Source organism: Homo sapiens, chromosome 9 (genome assembly GCF_000001405.40).
Source record: "Homo sapiens chromosome 9, GRCh38.p14 Primary Assembly".
Lineage (NCBI taxonomy): Eukaryota > Metazoa > Chordata > Mammalia > Primates > Hominidae > Homo > Homo sapiens.
In genome coordinates this window covers 70,823,160-70,845,680 of record NC_000009.12, presented here as the reverse complement: position 1 = coordinate 70,845,680, position 22,521 = coordinate 70,823,160, and the positions used below count along the sequence as shown (strand labels likewise).

At 38.1% G+C, this 22,521-nt stretch overlaps 1 protein-coding gene and 1 long non-coding RNA gene across 24 annotated transcripts in view; one reads left to right on the top strand and one right to left on the bottom strand.

The window, feature by feature from the left end:
* Positions 1–22,521, top strand: part of TRPM3 (transient receptor potential cation channel subfamily M member 3) — a 917,912-nt gene that overhangs the window by 601,291 nt on the left and 294,100 nt on the right. For all 23 annotated transcript variants that reach the window (NM_001366143.2, NM_001366141.2, NM_001366142.2 and 20 more), the window contains exons 5-6: positions 2,554–2,678; positions 17,663–17,834. In NM_001366143.2, coding sequence (NP_001353072.1) covers positions 2,554–2,678; positions 17,663–17,834 — 297 coding nt within the window. The remainder of the gene's footprint in view (positions 1–2,553; positions 2,679–17,662; positions 17,835–22,521) is intronic.
* Positions 2,630–9,032, bottom strand: LOC107987078 (uncharacterized). The gene is made up of 4 exons (XR_007061574.1): positions 8,951–9,032; positions 6,333–6,483; positions 4,956–5,170; positions 2,630–2,714 (listed from the first exon to the last, which is right to left on the bottom strand). It is a non-coding gene; the product is annotated as an uncharacterized LOC107987078 (long non-coding RNA).

Genomic DNA, 22,521 nt, shown 5'->3' with positions numbered 1-22,521 from the left:
GGAAATGTAGAGGTAATGTTGCAATAAGTTAGGCAAACTTATTACAAGCCCCAAAGTCTGTACATGTGGATACATTCGTAATTAATGGAATATTCTAAACATAACTCTGGACCAGTTAGTTTTAAATAACACATTATCTCGGGCCAGGTATGGTGGCTCATGCCTGTAATCCCAGCTCTTTGGGAGGCCGAGGCAGGGGGATCACCTGAGATCAGGAGTTCGAGACCAGCCTGGCCAACATGGTGAAACCCTGTCTCTACTAAGAATGCAAAAATTAGCCCGGCGTGGTGGCAGGTGCCTGTAGTCCCAGCTACTCAGGAGGCTGAACCAGGAGAATTGCTTGAACCTGGGAGGTGGAGGCTGCAGTGAGCCAAGATCATGCCACCACACTCCAGCCTGGGCAACAAGAGCAAAACTCTGTCTCAAAAAACAAAAATAACACGTTATCTTAATGTTGCTTAATTTTGCATTCGTAGTTTGGATGCTGTTTGAGTAAGACCTACACTGAGAATTCTCTTAAATACCTAGAATTTGTGAACATTCTGCACACAGCTACGTAAAGATATTTCAGCGATGAAGTCTGCAGACTGCTCATGTTCAATGTTATTATGTGAAATTCTGACTCAGCCCATACACTGACATGATCTTAGAATGACCTGCTTAGCTCTTTACTCCTTATCCTGTAGTAATCAAATATCTACAGAGCAATTTTTCTTTCAATGACTGTTCAGGTTTTGGGCTCCATGTTTCCCTCTCAACTAAGCAGGCCTCATTGGCTTGTGATTATTGTCTATTGCATTCCTGTCACATAGAGACCAACTCAAAGGGTTCTACAGGTTCAAAAGAAAGTCTTACCAATACTCTATTTCTAAGAACTTGGAATATTGTTTATTATTTTTGTTCTTTTATAAAATGCATTCAATATCAAAAGAAGAATTTATAGCCTACATGCCACAAACCCATGAGTTCATCTCTGCCTCACTCCAGGCTTAGTGTTCAATCCAATACCCAAAGTGAGGTTCTTAACAATAAAATGTTAAAGTTAGGTAAGAAGTATTGATAGAATTGTGCAGACAGATGAGCATACCATAACGTTAAACTTCTTGTCCAGGGCTGGCCCTGAAAGGAGTTTTGTATTGGAAACAATTGGAAACAACTTAATATCAATATTCACAGCCTTTTTTGGGGGAGTTTTGTTTTGTTGTTTTTTGGTTCGGGTCTGTTTTTGTTTGTTTGTTTGTTTGTTTGTTTTACCAGTTCTCTCACTCAGAAGATTCATAGATAAGATAATAAGTGAAAATGATATTCTTTCCAACACTGTTGAATAGCTCAACATGATTAATGGCCATTTACACCGTTTTGTTATTTGCTTTTTAAACAGTGATTCTTTCTGTTTCATCTTATGAATATTTCAGTATTGAGTTACTTAAATACACATGTCTTTTCCCATGATTAAATTGCCTGGTGTGTTTCATGTGTTTAGTTAGTTTAGCGCACAGTGTCTGAGCCCTTCCTCTAGGCTAGCCCCTGAGGTGTAGGAAGATGAATAAGGCACTGACCCTCCAACTTCCCTCTCAAACAGTTTTACTGTTAGAAGAGACATCTTCACATATAATTATGAATCACTGCAGAACATGTTAAGTGACATACTGAGCTATTCAAAATTGACAAACTGCAATATGTTCAAATGGAGAAGAAATCAAATCCAACTCAACATTCATATAGGAAGTGGCACTAGGTATAAATTTTTCCTGGAGAAGTGGGTGGAATTTTGATAAGCAGAAACATCTTTTCGTAGAGGATATATCTTATACATCTTCCTATAAAAATGATCATTTGAGAGGGAGGTTAAGAGAATTAGAAATTGCATCTTCTTTAAATGGTTTTTAAAAAGGTAAGAGTTATGCCGCCTAACATCTTGTAAACTGAATTTTCTCACCCTTAACTATGATGGGGAAGGTCATTTTAACAGAAGAGGAAAATAATTAGAATGATGAAGATTAAAAGGTGTGTCTATATATTTTAACATAAATTTTCCACAGAATAATCCAACATTGTCTTTACGAGTAGGTTCTCATAAAGGTTAACAAAATCTCAAACTAAATAGCTCATGTCTTTGAATGAATTTAACTCATATACAGACTGTGGTGTAGATTTAACATACCATTATACATGGTGCTTTTAACATGACACAGTCAAGCTATTGGCTCCTAATCATACTAACAAATTATTATGCTTATAAGAAAAAGAGTTTCTAGTTAAAAAAAATTGTATTTATTCTTTTTATAGACATTGGATGCTTTTTGTTTTTTCATATGAATTGGAGTAAGAAATGCAATGCTAGAATTCATATACAAATCTGGCCAATGCATCTGGCATTACAGCCATGAGTTTATGTTTTCTCCTAAATACAAGTAGTTTGTATAGAAATGTGTCAAAATTTTATATTCAATTTATTTAACCTCGGGAGAAACCATTACCACAGTTTTCTTTAGAATGATGAAAAGGTATTTGCTTTAAAAGAAAAAATCAATGCTTCTCTTTTTTTTTTAGGTGTTATTCGTCATGTTGGCGATGCCTTGAAGGATCATGCCTCTAAGTCTCGAGGAAAGATATGCACCATAGGTATTGCCCCCTGGGGAATTGTGGAAAACCAGGAGGACCTCATTGGAAGAGATGTAAGTCCTGAGTGCTGTCGCTTTCCATGACTTCTCCTAGAGGGGATATCAGAAAAGTATAATAAAATTAGTATTCAAAATGTGCACATTATAGTATTCTTTGGGTCTCTACTCACTAAAATGAAACATGTTAAGGAATGGTATCTTGGGAAAATATTTATTTTCTAAAATCTCTAGGCAAACTCCAGGTCAATTCTTATGATCAAGAAAGGTCCAAAGTAAGACTTACCACCTACCCCCTCTCTGCTTAAATCAAGCAGTGGTCTTTCTTCACCCATCAAATCCTGCAATTACTCTTGGTATAGTGATATTAAGATTAATTAACACCACTTAATATACGGCAACATGAACTCATTGACAGATATAGTAAACACGGACTCTCCGCACCCCAGGGCTCTAGCATCTTTATAATTTGAGTATCTTTCACCTAGCTCCTGAGAGTTGCAGAGAGAGATTCTTTTCATTTCAAAGTACCATGAGGTCTATCTGAGCCACAAAAATTTTTTTTAAAAGTGGCGAAGAATTAATTGGTCTTAAACTACTTTTTCTATTATGCAATACAATGCAACCATCTTATTTTAATCCAACACAATATATGCAATTTTTTAAAATGCAATGCAAAATACTTTGAATTAAAAAATAAATGTCATCATAGGGCTCACTGTCCTGCCCTTTGCAAATCTTAAAATGTGTAGTATGAGTTACCAATGGCAATGCAGGCATTTAAAAAAGGAGGTAGGATCCATTTGACCCTGAGCAGAGATATTTTCCCCAGGGGCTTGCATTTCTCCTGAAAATTTACCTAAATGGGACAGACTGTGATGCATTTGAGTGGCAGACACTTTCTTCTCAGTTTTAAATAAAATGTATGTTTCAAAAAAACTAAATGTCATGAAACACAAGCAGTAAACAAACTCTGTTGGCCTTAAAAAATATCTTTATGGAGTACAGATGCAGATGTCTTATGTATGTATATTGCATACTGATTAAATCTAGGCTTTTAGTGTACCCATCACCTGAATAGTGAACATCGTACCCAACAGGTGATTTTTCAGCCCTCACCCCTCCCACTTTTGTAGTGTCCAATGTCCATATTCCACTCTGTATGTCCATGTGTGCCTAGTACTTTGCCCCCACTTACAAGTGAGAACATGCAGTATTTGACTTTGTTTCTGAGTTATTTTACTTAGGAAAATGGCCTCCAGTTCCATCCATGTTGCTGCAAAAGACATGATTTCACTCTGTTATGACTGGCCAGTATCCCACCATATATATATATATATGGTGGGAGATATATATGTATATGGTGGGATATATCTATATATACATATATATGGTGGGATATATATATATATATATATATATATATATATATATAGTGGGATATAGATATATATATCCAATCCTCCATTGATGGACACTTAGTTTGATTCCATATTTTTGCCATTGTTGATTGTGCTGCAATAAATATATAAGTGCAGGTGTCTTTTTTATATAATGATTTATTTTCCTTAATAAAAAAACACTTTAAATCCATTAGAACCTTTGTTTTAAGTGATAACAAGTGTCCACATCAATGATATCAGATTCCATGTATAAATGCTAATTTATCCAGGATACATAGGATAAGGAATGAGATGTCAGTTTTGTTACTGTTAATATTCTCTTAATTAAAACTTATTGGCTGTTTCATATTACGTACAAATTGAATATCTCAGCAACAATTTCCTAAGTGTTATATAGGCAGACCTGACTGGAAAAGTAAGTGTTACTGATTTCTTCAAAGTATCTGAGGCTAGTCTTTCATGTAATATATTTGGGGTAATACTTAGATTCCAAATTGGCTTTTAATTGTATGTTGATTTTGCACTAGAACAAATATGTGTCTTAAAGAATTAGAATATGCCAAAATGCTTTCAGCACCAAAATCATTTCTGCACCAAAATCATTTAATAATGCATATTAATACATAAATTAATTCTTTAAAATGTGTTGATTCAAAAGTCATTTTGAAATGTTCATAGCTTCAGGATCTCTCCTGTAAACTCAAACTATTATTTTTCAATTTGAAGGGGGACACTACTTTGAACTTCCTCATTCAGATGAACTGTGAATAAATGGCAGTTGATTATTTATTTATGCAAGATAGAGTAACTAAATAATTTCCTTAGTTGCCTAAGCATTTGCAGAGAATGCTGGCCTACTGGCTCTTTGTATTATTTTGTTTGTTCATCTTATAAATTTTATAAGATTGCAGAAAGACAGTAATTCTATTACATTTACTTATCTGTTGAATTGGGAGAATCACTTCTGATTCTTCTACCTCCCATTCCAACTTTTTCTCTGACTTCAACTTCTCCCTTCACTCCTCATTTTTTTTCTTCTTTTGTTTCTTCCCATTCTTCTTCTTGGTTGTATGCAACTAGAAACTTATGCATTCCAATGGGACTTACTGACATTGTCTGCCTTCCCAACTGAACATAGTCTTGATCCTAGCACAGAGGGCAGAAAAATGTTCAGTAAATGTGTGCATCCATCATCCCTGTTCCCGAGGGTCTCGTAAAGGCAAACCACAGCTCACAAAGAACCAGGTGGACCATGGGAGAGACTATTGCAAAAAGGAAATAAAAGTGGCAGGTTATAGAGAACACAGGAAAGACAGTTGTATTTTACTTTTTCCATAAATCTTTCACAGGGATCTATTGAATTTTGACCACTCTGTTACCTTCTTCCCTTAAAACTAGGGAACTAGAATATACCTAAGATTTCTCAGGCTCTTGTGTGATAATAGAGTTAGTTTTTCAAGTTATAAATTATTTGGAATGAAAGTACTATTTTTGGTGTACAGGATTTATGACATAGTTTGAGATAAATTTTTCTATGTGTTCACTATTCCAATATGATAGCTAAAAGGTACTATGATGTTAGGTTGCCATTAAAAGAGGTGTTTGAATAAAATGATGGTGGTCATTAGTGAAGATTCCCCTCAAAATTATCAAATTAAAAATATTATCTGGTAAGCTTCTTACACAGTCGCAACTCTTTTCTCAGCTAGCTTAATGTACTGCCATCTGTCCTTTTTCTTCCATTTTATATAATAAAAATCACATGTAATAAACATCAAAAAATAAACCTTTTAGCATTAGACATCAGGTAGCAGAGAAAAACAAAACAATGTATTATTAAAAATCTTTACCACTTCAGAATTCTATCAAAATGCCATCATTTGAAAAAATAGAATAGCTGCATCTTTGGTCAAGTCTGTTTATACTCCAGAATAATATTGAAGAGGTACAAAATAAATGTCAAGGGAAATCTGGGAAATGTATTGGAAATAAATCCAAGGATAAAAGAAAGGCTCCATTTCTTATGCCTGATATTTTATTGCAGTAAATTTATTTCCAAACTGATGGAAAATATAAATTATGTTATTTTTGTGGGGCTGGCTCTCAGATGAGAAGCTTCACTTTTAGAAACTGAACATTCAAGTACTACTAGAATTATTTTATTTATTGATAGAAGTAGTGAGTGCAGCAATTGCTATTCATCTTAACCCCTTTAGGATGGCACTAGCGAGGCAAATACTAGTCCTAAAAATAAAGAAGAAAACTTACTTGTCCTTGAGTGTGCTTCTAAATCTTCTGAAACACTCACCTCCCTTCAGGTCTCATCTCATAGCTGGGCTTCATGTTACTTAAGTGTAGAGCATTTGTCTTTGGATTCTCAGAACCCAACTTAGAGCCTCACACTTAGTAGGTGCTCAGTAAATATTGATGAAGATGGATTGGGCATGATGAGATTCAAGCTACAGGGAAAATAAGTATTATGGAACAGATAATGATAAATCTTACCTACTTCACAACTTCATCTCTAATCCTACCCCCAAGCTGCATCACATGATTGTGACTACAGTGGGGACATTTTTTAACCAAGCATCTGGCTGTAAAACTGTTTTCTTAGATAGCAACTCAAGGTGGAAGGTGGAAGGTGAGGGAGCGGCCTGTTGGGTGTGGCGGTAAAACAGTGTGGGATGGAAACAGGCCTTTCTCTAAAGCTTTTGAAAGATGTGTGATCTACCCATCTGAGGGACAGCACTAATCTTGATGTTTTAAATTTAAATATTGTCCACTCTGTTTAACCAAGCCCTTTTTTTCTCAATTAATAGATCGAACAACAGATTTTGGTGAGGAATAAGGCTATGAATACTGAGATGGTAATCATTTTATCCCCTGCCACTTAGGCCTGAAAACATACACTGTTTCAGTTATTGAGGTTGGCTCCACCTCTGTGGTTTCTCCATATTATTTCCACCATCCCTCTCCTCTATTACTATCCATAATCCTACACTTCATCAAATTTAGCTCAAGGCTCACTTCCACCAGGACATCTTTCCTGACTAACTTCACCCTTAACGTCATATCCCTGATTGTAATGTTACCACAGCTGTCTTCTTCCTCCCCAGCTGTCTTAGTCTTTTCAGGTTTCTATAACAAAATGCCACAGACCAGGGGGCTTATAAACAATAGAAATTTATTTTTCCACAATTCAGGAGGCTGGACAGCCCCTTCCTGCTGTGTCTTCACATGGTAGAAAGAGATAGGGATCTCTCTGGGGTCCCTTTTGTAAGGCCCTAATCCCATTCATAGGGCCCCGCCCTCATGACCTGATCACCTCCAAAGGTCCCCTCTCCTCATTATCGCCTTGGAAATTTGAATTTCAACATATAAATTTGGGTGAAGAAGGGACATAAACATTCAGTCCATTGTACCAACTTAATTAAAAACTCCCCAAAATGAGGACTGAATTGTTTATTTCTTGTTAACCCTTAATGTCATAGTTTGTATGAACATGACATATTGACATGCCACTTAAACTCTGTAAGATTTGGTTTCTTCATCTCTATAAAAACACTTGTTCTGCCTGTCTTCATACAACTTCTATGAGCATAACCACAATAATAGTAATTATAATTTATTGAGCTTTTATTTGACTGTGCTCTGCGACTGCATATATTAGTTTTACAAGGTATGTATTATACCCCCTTTACAGTTGAGTAAACAGGATCAAAACCAAGATCCAACTGTCTCTAATGCCCATTTCCTTAAATATATGTATGTCAAGTAAGATGTAAGAAAATATTCAGTGATAGAGTATCTTTATTGTTGGTTGAGATATTGGCACATATCTGTGACTGTAAACCGAACTCAGAGACAGACTCGATGCATGACCGGAGCCCCTTTCTTTGTCCCTAGAGAATCTTGACCTGGATAGAGGATTCTGAAAGTATCACCAGTATAAAGTCAAGAAGGAACTTCCAGTGAAATATAATTTTCATATGACACAGTTTGAATTTAGATTTCCTACTTTAGAAAACAATCTGACCAGATTTGTGTCAGGTAAATGAAGAGTTTCTGAAGGCTTGATTGTTTGTCTTCTCTGAAATCTAGATTAACAAGACACATAACAATTTAAAAACCCAGACATAATCAAAAGACAAAGCACTTTCCATTTTAACTTGAGGATGGAAATTGTGTTTGGGTAGATTTACAACACATCATCTTGTGTGGTTATTAAATTATCTTCACATTCAATGATGTCTTCTATTTTCCCTAAACTATAGATTTATTTCTCCAAGTTTTATAGCCTGTAAGGGTTCTTATGTTTAATTGGAAAGTGCTCTTTTGATGCCATCTTTATGTTTCAAGCCAGGAAACATCAAGTTCAATAACACAATTGATTGCTAATTTAATGTAGTTACCAAGTCAGTACATTTGTTACTTATTTCTGAGGCAAGCCAAATATGACTTCATATTATAAGCTCAGAAAACTTTCCAGGAGTGGCCCTGGCATGGAGTTGATTGGATTTTTACGATTAGATTAGATAAGATGTATCTGGGGAGATGTGTGAGGAAAAGGTCGGAGACAAGGACACCCGCCCAAATCTGTTATAATTATACCAGACAGAGCCAATGCTTGCTGAGCCTGGACCACACTCAGCTTTGGAGCTAACTGCCTTAGTCACATTCACTTACGTGGGAAATGCGGTTCTAGTGAGAACAGTGATGAGTTTGGATCTGGGCATGTTGATTTTGACTTTCCTTTGAGATATCTACCTATATGAAAATATCTGGCAGGCCAGTGAGTATGTGAGATAGAAGTTCAGAAGCACGATCTGGCTACACGCTTAGATTTGGAAGGCATCTCATACAGATGGCAATTAAAGTCATTATGGTGGATGGGAGAGTATTCAGATGAGGAAAAGGATGGCTTACCCCGGGATCCTCATGGTCTCCAGCTTTTAATGGATGAGCAGAGGACAAGCAGCCTGCAAAGGAGACCAAAGCAATGTCTGAGAGGTAGAAGCAAAGTCAGAGGGAGTCATGCAAGCCAAAAGAAGAGTGTGCTTCTGAAGAAGAGTGTGAAGTGCAATGCCAAGTTCTATCAAGAGGCTAAGGAAGGCAGAGACCTGGAAGTGCCCATCCATTTCATCAAGATGGATATCACTGGCATTACTGGTCAAAGCTGTTTCAGAAGAATGGTGACAAGGCAGCACTTTTCAATGGGTTCAGGAGGAAGAAGTGGAGAAGCAGAGTTGGCAGAGACCTCTTAGAGGTTTTGGTTGTGAGGGGGAGAGATCCAGGTAGCCAAAGGGAGCCACAGTGTGAGGGAATTTTTCCTTTAAGATGGGGGGAGACTGGAGTTTGTTTATGTGCTGATAGCAGAAAGGGACATGGGACAGAGAGGTGATAAGTGATGAATAACTCCTAGAAGGGCCATGAGGTGATGGGGCCCAGAGCTAAGGAGGAAAGATCAACTGTGGGTACACTTGTCACTGAAGGAGAATGGGAGAGAGTACACATGTGGAAGATTGGTGTCAGGATGTTGAAGGAGTTTTAACCTGGAGGTTTATCATTTATCACTGAAATAATAATAATAGCCCCAACAACAACTAAAATAATATTCACATTTCTGTAGAGCTCACTGTCAGCACCCTTCTAAGCACTTTTACATAGATAAACTCATTTAATTCTCACAGTGGCATTCAGAAGTCATCATTTTTAGCATTACTATCATCTTCCCAATGTTCTATAACTGGTGATGGATGTTTCTGGGATTTAAACCTAGGCCACCTAGCTCCCTAGACCATATTCTTAGCCATTATCCTTTGCAGTATAGAGACCAATACTGCTTCTCTATATTAATAACAGCTCTTATTTACTTGAGATCATATTTTCATTGTTCTATGAGTTTTCTATCTCAGTTAAGCCTTATAATACTTCAATGGGATGATTATTATTATTCTCTATGTACATATGGAGACAGTGAGACACAGAGGATAAATAACTTGCTTAGGGTCACCCAACTGGCAAGCGTGTAGGAGCAGGAATTGGATCACCTGCCACATGGAGAAGGGATGGTATTCGGGTCAAAGGTGTGAGGAGAGTGAGTGGAGGATGTTAGTCACCCCAATGGAACAGAAACCAGAACTGATTAGAGCCCAGGGAAGGAATGCCAAGCAGAGGACTCAGGGTGGCAAGGGGGTGGGGACTAGAGGTTATGAAACTATGATGCATCCACCAGTTTAGAATAAAGGGAAGAAGACACATTTCGAAGCCTTAAAGAAGCAAGAAGATAATAATGATAATATTAATACATTATTATGTTAGCTATTGTTACGTAAAAAAAAAAAGTACCTCAAAAGTAATGGCTTTGTATTAGTATATTCTTGCATTGCTATAAAGGAATACCTGAATCTGGGTAGTTTATAAAGAAAAGAGGTTTATTTGTCTCAGGGTTCTGCAGTCTGTAAGAGAAACATAATGCCTGCATCTGCCCCTAGTGAAGGCCTCAGGAAGCTTCCACTTATGGCAGAAGGCAAAGGGGGAGCTGGCACACCACATAACGAGAGAGGGAGCAAGAGAAATGTCAGGCTCTTTTAAACAAAGAGCTCTCATGTGCACTGACAGAGCAAGAGCTCCCTAATTACCGTGGGGAGGGCACCAAGTCATTCATGAAGGATCTACCCCATGACCCAGACACTTCCCACCAAGCCTCACCTCTAACATTGGGGATTACATTTCAACATGAGATTTCGGGGAGACAAGCACTCAAACTATATCAGGCTTAAACAACAAATATTGATGATCTCACAGTTTCTGAGGGCCAGGAATGTATGCGTGGCTTGTCTGAGTGGTTCTGGCCTGGGCTGTCTCTTGAGGTCACAGCCAGGATGGCAGTTGGGGCTGCACCATCTGAGGGTTTGGATCAAGCTGCAGTATCCTCCTCCAAGATGACTTATGCAGGAGTTCCTTGCCATGTGGACCTCTCTACACGGCTGCTTCAGCATCTTCACACATGCCACTGGCTTCCCCCAGAGTAAGTAACGTGAGAGAGAGCTAAGAGAAACCCTTTTATAACCCAGTTTTGGAAGCCACACACTATCACTTCTGTTTTATTCTATCCCTTAGAAGTGAGTCACTGAGTCCAACCTAGACTAGGAAAGAGTTTCAAAGAATTGCTGGAGATATTTTTTAATCACCCCACTCATACATGGTGATTTCTAAAGGATGTAACCGTCTTTCAGAACTCAACAGCCTTTTCCCACTGCCAGTAGGTTCTGTAGCTGAATGGTAAAGGGTTCCCCTCAGGACTGGGCAAAGGGAGCAAGTCCATTTGTGTGGAAAGCATGAAATGAGGACTGTGCTGCTCTGCAGTGTGCAACTTAAGGGACACATTTTCAAAGTGCTGCAGAAAGACATAATTGTTCCACCCATGGATTTCAGTGGGATTCACACTGCTAATGTATCTGGGCAGTCTTTGGAAATGGATCCCTGGGTTTGCTGGTCTCTTGTTTGAATTGCCGAGCTGAAAGGCGGCATCTGGGTTTCAACAGGACCCTGCTCTGCACCTGTCCTTACAGCCAAGGTGCCTGAGTGGGAAGTAACTAGCCAGTGTCCCTGCTAGCTCTGGCCTCGCTATAATTGTGAGGAACCACAGATCCTTTCTTTTTTTTCATTTCATTCTCTCAGCCCCCATGTTCCTTTATCTCAGACGCAGAGGTTCCTTCCCACTTCTCAGTGGTATCCCATCTTCCCTCCCAGAAACAGATGCGTGATCCTAAGAGAATCCCCCCACTCCTTTTGTTTCTCTCTCTCCAAAGCACAATGCCATTTTGCTGCCTGCTGGTGGCTTTCCTGACCTCTGTATACATACAGTTCTAGATGGCTCATCTGGAAATAACCTGATCAGCTATTAGAAGGACTTTCATATCCAGCTGAGCCACTGATAAAAATGTCCAGCAGCAAAACCAACCCTAATATCCTCTACAAATTTACAATCAGACTGGGTCCTCTGCCTTCCCTCTTAAAATCTACATGGGATTTAGAGAAAAGAGTAGGATTAGTGGGGCAAATTTGACCAAGATACCTCACCTCTTTGAGCCCCTATAATTCTTCCCACCTATAAAGTATGCCGTCAATGGGTTAATCCTTGGGAAATTGTCCATCACAGTGCCTGGCATGCAATAAGTGATCAATAAATGCTAATATTTTTCAGCCTAAATTAAAATGATGGTGCTATTAGGAAAGAATGATTGTTTGGGCCACACATCCACTACCCTGCCTCTTGTCTGGAGCATGTTGGTTCATAATTCAGTAGGTAATGAGGTTTGGGATTGCAGAAGGCCTGTGATTGATGGCACAAAAACCTGACGTAGTCCAATTCAATTCTGTTTGGAAAAGTAGTCCCAGGTCATCAAACTGCCCTCGCATTGCAGAAAGCACCATAAAATGGAAGAGACCACAGGACATGAAAGAACTACTTTTCTTTCTGTAGCCAACACACATTAAAGGTCACTATTCTGCGTTAACTTGAAAAGAGCAAAAGCACTGTTTAACACAGGCTGTCCAGACTCAATTTTAGAGGCAGGAAACAGAAATTAGTCAAGTCCTCTAATTTATAGATGGAAAAACTATTGTCCAAAAGTTTCTTTCAATGAATCTGTTTTGAACATTTATTGTGAGATATTACCAAGATGCATGATTGTATGTCTCTTCAAGCCAGCAGAATATTTATCACACACTATATTTCCTCAAGAAATTCTTAATAAGTAAACAAATGAATGAATTCACAGACTTGCCCCATGTTAGAAATTAGTAACTAGAAGAACTAGAGCTAGAACACCCATCTCCTGACTTCCTGTTTACTACTTCTGGGTGAGACCAAAAATGCTTGAAAATAGCTAGGAAAACTCAAGCAGTTTTCTTAGATTAGCTTCTGAATCACTGATTTAAGCCCATGCAGAAAACACAAATGAAGCACTCTGCCACCAGCCCATGACTGAAGGTTGTGTCATAGTGTCTCTGAATCAGTCCCTTCCTGGGAATGATGATGTCCATACTAATGCCTTCTATAAAAGGGCTTTTGCCTCCTTTCACCTCTTAAACAGCTCTCATTTCACTTCAGAGGGCCTCTTTGTTTCAAAGTCAAAGTATACAGAACCAGAATTTTATCAGTCAGCCAGTATTAAAAGGTGTACAATGGATTAATGAGGCAAGAATTCTCTCATTTACTCTTAAGGGACAAGAAAGAGAGGCAAATGTCATTGCTTACAGGTATTCGGGCCCACAATGCTCAGAGAGTACTAAGTGTCTAAAATCCATTTCTAAGCAAATTTCTCTTTTAGATATACATACTACTATTTTTTTTATTATTATACTTTAAGTTTTAGGGTACATGTGCACAATGTGCAGGTTAGTTACATATGTATACATGTGCCATGCTGGTGCGCTGCACCCACTAACTCGTCATCTAGCATTAGGTATATCTCCCAATGCTATCCCTCCCCCCTCCCCCCACCCCACAACAGTCCCCAGAGTGTGATGTTCCCCTTCCTGTGTCCATGTGTTCTCATTGTTCAATTCCCACCTATGAGTGAGAATATGCGGTGTTTGGTTTTTTTTTTTAATTTTTAATTTTGAAAAAATGTGTGTGGGTACATAGTAGGTATATATATATATATATATATATATATATATATATTTATGGGGTACATAAAATGTTTTGATACAGACATGCACTATGAAATAAGCACAACCTGGAGAATGGGGTAGTCATTCCCTCAAGCATTTATCCTTTGAGTTACAAATAATTCAGTTACATTCTTTAAGTTATTTTAAAATATTTAATTAAGTTATTATTGACTATAGTCATCCTATTGTGCTATCAAATAGTAGGTCTTATTCATTCTATTTTTTTTTCTACCCATCATACTACTGTATTTACCAACTATAAAAGCTCACCTGATGTGAAGCCCTTTCAGACACCATTCAGCCTTTCTCAACTCAGGTTTCTTATCTGAACTGCAACACAGGAAATTGTTTGAGTGACTGTCTTCTCGATTCTCCAAAGATAGTACATAACCTGGATCATCCTATGTTCTTGGGAAAGAAAGTGATCCATTACATGCAATGGATGCTGCGGGGCAGTAGGACTTAATTTCTCAGGAAAGCCTGGCTGAGAAACATGCCACAGTAATCCAGTACACTTACAAATTATGAACACATCAAATTGTTCTTACCACACACACACACAATTCCAAAAAAAAAAAAAAAAGTCCTATTTTACAATCTCTTAACAATGAAAATGGCTTCATTACTTCCAAAATTTTTTCAGAAGAAAAAATTCATTTGTATTCATGTTATTAAAATACATTATTTTTTTAATTTGGAAAGCATAACGGGAAGATCAGCAAATCTTTTTAGATATGTAAATTATAACTCAAACAAAAATAGATTGCTGGTACGTTTGCTATGAAGAATATTAAATGGATTTTGTAGGCAAGTTAGACCAAACTGTATTCCTTTGAGGTATTTGGGAAGTTATTTCTAACTTTTCAGTAATCAGCAAATAGTTTCAGACCATCACCCTCTTAGATGCCTGGGAGGACATGGCAAAGAAAAAGCACTTTGCATATTTTGCCAACAGACTGCTGATTTTTTTTTCTTTACTTACATTGATTTCTATCTCGTGCAAAACAAAAGTCACTGATTTGTCTCATATCATTTTATTTTGATCACTAGTTTACAATTGAAAAATCGGCTTATAGTTGGTAAAATAGAGCAGAGCCGGAGAAGGAATTAACATTTATAGAATGCCTGCTATGAGCTTGGCATAGTGCCAGGTACTTTGCACATATAATCTCAACTAATCCCCAAGAGGTAAGTGGTTTTATCATTTTCCTTCTACAGATTAAAAAAGTGAGACTCAGATTCACACAGTCATTAGCAAAACTGAGATTCAAACAAATTTCCACAATTCATATGTTCAGAATTATTCCACGATTCAGCACATCTTTCTCCAATGATGACTGAAAACTAAATTAGGACACTTTACTTATTTTTCAATTTTTATCCCTTATTATTCAGCAGACAAACTCTCTCCCAAAATATGACCACACTTGACTGGCTTCCACATAAGATCAAAAGAAATAGGGATCAGTAAGATGAAGAAATTGAAACTCATGAGTGAAACTGTAAATTTGACCCTTTTGCCATGACCAATTCAGATGTGCAGTATTCCCAAAGAGCCGCTGAGCTATGTTTCACAAGAAAAGAAAGTCAAAAGTCAGAAGACTGGAGCACCCACGTCCTTAGAATACAGATACTGTATATAGAATATAGATTATTTAATTTTCTTCTTTTATTCTTAGATTGTGGTGAATACATCAGCTTGGCTGAGAATTATTTTCATTCCTTTATTCATTTGAAAATTTCACTTTCACTGATAGTCTTTAAATATGTTCATAGGAATTAAAAAACATGGGCTTACGTCTCAGCCAGCACAAATGCCCGGTGTTCACTATTACACACAGTTTAACCTCTCGAAAACCCACTGTCCCCTGCCTCTCACAGACTGCTTTGGTCTTACCCCTCCTTCTCAAGGACTCTTGCAGGAACTGCTACTAGAAAAGAGAGAACAGTAACTAAAGCATTTTCTTTTGTCTACAAGCACAATGCAGAGGCACTTTAAGAACAGGAGAGTCTTTCTGCTGAGCCTCTTTCAATAAAGCATTAATATTTATTAACTTGCACTCTGCTGTAGAATGAATGTTTTATGATAAAAAACAAGTAGCAACAAAATGGAAATTTTAACCACAAGCAACCTACTCTTCCAGTGATAACAAGCTCAGGATGGGATTAGCAAACCACTGTCTCTGTGTTTCGGGGGACTCTTACGCAATCATCTAGACAAAGCAGTAATTGATTACTGCTCCATGCAATTACTAGAGACAATAATCAAAAAGTTATAGACTTCTTTTATCAATAAGAGCCAACTAAATGAAGCTGTGAATTAACCTTATATTAATGCTGCATTAACAAATGCTACATTAATGCTACATTGACAAATTAACATTATAGCAATACTACATTAAATTAATGCTACATTAACAAAAAAGTCCTATATATTAATAGGACTGAAGCCTTTTTCAGAAGCTCAGAATTATATACACATTTTATATTTAAATGAGATCAATCCTCAATTCAGAAAAGAAAGGATTTTTTTTCAATGTTGAACAAAAGCATGTCTGTCTCAAGTTTGCCTATTCATTCATTCATTCACTATTTATTGAGTACATTTTATCTGCCAGACACATAGAAATGTGGGATTTTGAATCAGAATCAAGGTCTAAAAAAATGACTTACATGAGTTCTTCACTATTGAGGACTGCTCTTATAAATCACTTTGTAATTCCTTTAACAAACTACTCAATCTTACTACAGCTTTATATAGTGTGTTATTACATACTGAAAAAGAACAAGAGCATCTCAATTCTATAATTAATGTACACACTCTGTAAAGGCACAAAAATAAAAATTCGGTAGCATTTATTTCTTTCCTGTCAATTTTGATGATTCAATACAGTGATAGCTGTACTAAGACCATGTAGCAATTAGCCTGTTGAATATTCTCTTTCTATAGTCTTGAGGGCAGTTCTTACCTAAATATTTTAGGAGTAGATTTCCAACCCATCATCTTATGTTTCCACTGGGTCTAAGCAGTATGGGAAAGAAAAATAAGCATAGATTTTGGAATCAGGCAGTCCTGGGTATGAATTCTGATTGTGTGTGTGGTAGACTCTCAGAAAACTTACTTTACCTCTCCATTTCTTAGTTTCTTCGCCTACAAAATGAACACAATAGCATCTATTTTGCAGGATCGTCGCAAGGAATATAGATAACATGTATAGAGCAACTAGCTCGCAATAGGTATTGCTGTTCTTTTTATAAAAAAAAAAAAAAATCTGGAAGGCCACACTGAAATTGCTCTATTTTAAGTAGTGTAATTCACCATGAAATTAAAATAACAAAAAAGGTAGAATGAGACAGAGTTGAACATTTTGGGCCTGATTCATATCTATCTCATGAGACAATTATTTTATATTCAAGATTTCCACCTAAATAAGGTATCTAGTAAGAATAATGTTGATTTTAAATAAGAGACCTTCAAATTACTGAATGAGATTGACAGAAAGAATCACATTTCTCCTAGCTCCCCGCCACCATCTCCAGAATTATAATTGTTCTGCTGTGCCTGTTAAAGTATGGACATGATAGAGAAAGGAAAGAAACAAAATAACTAGATTGTAAAATTATTTTGGGATCATTAGCAAATACAAGGTTGACTTCAAAATGAAACAATCATTGGCATGCCAGTTTTTTAGTACAATGAGAGCACCATCTCTATTTTCTGCCCCATTTCAGTAAATAAATAAATACTCATTTAAGCACAGTCTTGCTTTGAATAACTTTTGCCATAAATCTTGCCTCTATCCAAAGCAATACTAAGAAGAAGATGTAGACTGTACTTTCACTGTACCACAGAACTGATGTTCTTTCTTCCTCTCTTTCCTCTGTCTGATTCTCCTTTTCATATCTTGTGTTCTTTTTTTCTGACTTCTGCCTCTTCCATTTGATACCCTGCAGGTTGTCCGGCCATACCAGACCATGTCCAATCCCATGAGCAAGCTCACTGTTCTCAACAGCATGCATTCCCACTTCATTCTGGCTGACAACGGGACCACTGGAAAATATGGAGCAGAGGTGAAACTTCGAAGACAACTGGAAAAGCATATTTCACTCCAGAAGATAAACACAAGTAAGTAGCGGTTGTTCCCACTGGCATGGCTCGTAGGAGGTATGCTGAAAGTGAATAACTTTAAGTACACCATGCAGCAATGTAATAAAAACTTGAGCAAGTTTTAAACATGAACCATTATTTCTACCGGGCCAGAGCTTAGAATGAGAGGAAGCCATCCAGAGGAGAACAATTGGAGGCGTAAGAAGTAATTACACAATTAGTGACTCCAGCTTATGTATCATGTGTGAAAAATTCAACTCCATCTGGGGTATGTGTATGCAGATAAGCTTTCTCTTCAGACTTTTCCTTCATCATCTGCATGGTACTCCAAGGAGAAAAGTTTCTATTTATTAAGCTCTTTTTGGTGGCTAAACAGAAAAGCAAAAGAATCAGATTTTGATCTTAGCACCGATCTGGCTGTGCAAAGGCATTTCAAAGAAATTGAACATTCACTCTCTAAGCTAAAGCATCATGTGAAAATGTTTCTATTTATTAAGCTTTTTTTGGTGGCTAAACAGAAATGTTTCTATTTATTAAGAGACAATGTTTCTATTTATTAAGCTTTTTTTGGTGGCTAAACAGAAAAGCAAAAGAATCAGATTTTGAACTTAGCAACGATCTAGCTGTGCAAAGGCATTTCAAAGAAATTGAACATTCACTCTCTAAGCTAAAGCATCATGTGAAACTATCTTCATGAAATTTTAATTGTCTGAATTTTAAGTATGTACTCATTGTCTCTAGATACATATGGATTTAGATATAGATAGATGTATATGTGAACCACATAGTACATAGTTACGCTAATATTATCTCTTAAGCGCATAGGAATCTCTATTTGCTGTATTTATTGTGTAAACATTTGTTTTAACTGTGAAAGGTAGCATCATCAAAACAGCAATGCTCCCCAGATCACTAAGTGGCTTGCATTTAAATGCAATTTAGGTATGAAAGCAATCTACCGTCCCGCCTCACAAAATAAAATTCTATTTGTTTTTATAAAGTAACAGGTGAGGATGCATGGCAAGCTCAAACTTTGTGGTAATTAGATGTCCCATCAGGGAAACTTTGATCTAATTGATTGAAATTCCAAAGTCTACAGTTCCAAAGAACAAAAGATTCCCTTTGGCTAGATGAGTTTTCAGAGGTTCTATGTACTGTGATTCAACTTTTCCAAATGACTTTTCCCTTCTCTAGATTTTTCTCTGCACCTGTCCCAAATGGGTCTTCATTGCCATCGCCACCTTCCTCCAAAAACAGGGATGTTAGATTTATCAGACCACAGCTTCTCCTTCCTACACTCTCTTTTCTGGTCCCACCTTTTAGGGACTGCTACTGTTTAAGTGTCATGTTTCATGGTTTCATATTTTTCACAGTGAAACCTGAAATAATAAATTTTGTCCTAGGTCTGAAATAAAAATTATATTACGAAATTTCCTTCCCAAACTGTCTTTGGAAAGAAGAAACACAAGTGTTATTATCCCAAGGTGAACATCTTCTGGAAACAAAAAGAGTAGAAAAGACTAGAAAATATACAGAGACCAGCAGAGATCAAATGTAACAAAGCACTGTGATCAATGGGTGGTAGGTTTTACTGTAAATACTAAAATTGAGTTCCATTACAGTACTTGATAGAATGGGCAAATGTTATGTAATCAGTGTTATCTATTTAGGTTTTTATAAGCTGCAGCATGACTTTCTGTACACCATCAAGTTAAGAACGAGAGCTTAAATAGGACTGAGCTAGAAGCTGAAGAGGATAAGAGCAAGGAAACAAGGAATAAATTCAGGGTCAAGTTCAGTACTTGGTAATAAGACAAAATCGGTCCAGAGAGGCAAAGCATGTCATTGTGGCAGGCCCTGGTGGCAGCTGGGCTGGTTAGCCAGTAGTGTGGGTAGCAGGCCTAGGGATGTGTTCGTGTAAGTTACACACCCAGCAAAGGGGATGGGAGCTGGAGTTAAAACCCCAGCCAGAGCCTAGGTTTTAGTCAAACTTTGGCACCTTCCAGAATGCCTAGAGGAAGGGGGTTCCTTTTTCTAATTGATCATCCCAGAGGGAGTACCCTTTTGCAATGTACGTGCCTGAAGGGGTGACTTTCTTCAGAAATGGGAGAGCTGCTGCATATATGGATGGCACTGCAGGGGAAGTCCAGGGAGGCTCATGGACAGTGGCCTGGCCTCCCTGAGGAGCAGAGGCCAACAGCACGCAGCTGAAGAGCAGGGCACGGTGGATGGTCAGCATGTCAGGAATGCTGGAGGAGTCACCACCCGATACTAGTCCTTGGGTAGATCATCAGGGACACATCACATTCCATTTATGGAAACACCAAACCTTTGCTAGATTATCAAGGCAGGTAGTGGCACATGGGCACTTGACAAGCAGGGGCCCGTCAGGAGTCTAGAGTACAAAGGAGGGGAGAGGCACGGATCCAGGTACCACGGGACTTACTTTTGGGACTGTATTTGTGGCTTCATAGAGACCCACAGGCTCCTCTTCCAGTGAATATATTAATAATTAAATGGTAAGAGGAGAGTTATAAAAGCCCAAGAGAAATTCTGAAGTCACAGGAAGTAAAAAGGCCCAAGGTAAGGAATTTGTGCATGAGCTGTAGTGAATGTCAAGAGTTAGCTCCTATAGCAGTTCTACCCCTGAACTTAATAGTGGTAGGGTGACCAACTTGTCTCAGTTTGCCTGGGACTTTGTTAGGTTTAGCCGTGAAAGTCCCAAATCCCTGGGCCCCCTCAGTCTGGGCAAACTGAGATAATGGGTCGCCCTACAAGAGAGTGACTCATAAGTCATTAGGTCAACTTCCCTCATTACTGTACTCAGCCCCCAAAGTCGGATGGAGCAGCAAGCTCCTTAGAGGGTAGGGAGTGACCCAGGCTCTTTGAAGTAGGTAAAGCAGGACCTTTGAGGTCTCCATTCAATTAACAGCAAAAAATGCTCACTGAGAACACAAAGGCCTCTAGAACAGCACTGACAAAGACACAAAGACAGGCAAAAAGCGGACCTGGTCTTAACATGAAAAACGGCAGAAGAATACAAACCTTTAATGCAATCCTCAGTCAGCAATTTAGAACAGCAAATCTACTTTCTAACATGGACACTTTGTGGTTCTTCCTTTTAAAAATAAAATTTTATGGCCGGGCACAGTGGCTCACACCTGTAATCCCAGCACTTTGGGAGGCCGAGGCAGGTGGATCACGATGTCAGGAGTTCGAGACCAGCCTGGCCAACATGGTGAAACCCCGTCTCTACTAAAAATACAAAAATTAGCTGGGCATGGTGGCGGGTGCCTGTAATCCCAGCTACTCGGGAGACTGAGGCAGGAGAATTGTTTGAACCCTGGAGGCGGAAGTTGCAGTGAGCCGAGACCATGCCATTGCACTCCAGCCTGGGCGACAGAGCAGGACTCCATCTCAAAAAAAAAATAAAATAAAAAAATTAAAAGGATAAAATTTTATTCCATAAGTTTATCCTAAAAATTCCATTTACTTTTTCATTTCCTGCTTCAGATGTTTAGGAAATCTAATTTACAAATGTGTAATTCAATTTCCTGAAAATGAAACACTATGCCACAATAACAGTGTCTACCACCTCTTACACTCAGGATGGCCCCAGGGAGGTATGAACGCCCCTCAGCATTTCCTTGCTAAAGTTCCATTCCCCCTCATCACTTAGGGGTGACCTGCATACTGTAGTATCCTATCAACGAGCCTGTTTTCTTACATAAATGGTATAATCTTCTGAAGAATATTTCCCCTAAACATTAAATGAATCCTGTTCAGGAGACTCATAAATGCTTTTTCATCAACATGGCAATGATCACTGAAAACATACTCCAAGCACCAGTGTTTGACCTTTTTCTCCACACTCTGACTTTCATTGTCCCTCCTCTCCCATTGCATTCCTACAGCCAACAGTCAGGACTGAAACATCATCATCAGTTAGTGATGGGCTTTGTTTATAAAAGAGAAGCCTTTCAGACATGAGCAGTTACCTGCCTCACAATGCTCTTCCATCTACAGTTTTTTAAACTTCAAATTTAATATGCAAGGAACAATTTCAGTCATTCCTTTAGTAAGTAAATACTTATCGAATTCCTACTAAGTACCAGTCATGGTTAAGGTCTAGAATAGCAACAATTAACAATTCATTGAGCTTACATCAAGGGGGGCAACCATAGTAATAAGTAAGAAAATGACTAACTGTGTGATGGCCGATAGTTTTTAAAAAGTGCTTTCGAGAAAAATAAAGCAGAGTAAAGCATCTATCAGTGCACTTGTGTGCATGCACACGTGTGCATTGGGAGGACAGTTTCTATTAGGTGATCAGGAATGACCTCTATGAGGAGGTATCGTTTATGCAACAACCTGAATGAAGCAAGCGGCTGGCTGTGAAAGAGCATTCTGTGGAGAGTGAAAGCAGGAACTAAGCCACCAGGTGTTCAGTGAGGAGCGGGGGAAAGCTTGGTAAAGAGTTGGAGCTTATTCTAACCAAGACTGGATCTGGGACATTACAGGGTCTCCCTAATTATTTAAAACATCACTCTGCTATAGTACGTAGAGATTAGACTGAGGTAGAGAGCAAGATTAAAAACAAGGAAATGCCTTCAGGAGGCTATTGCAATAATGCAGGTGAGAGATAACTGGTTTGAAAAAGGATGGCAGCAGTGGAGGTAGTAGAAAGTGGTTGGATTTTGCGTGT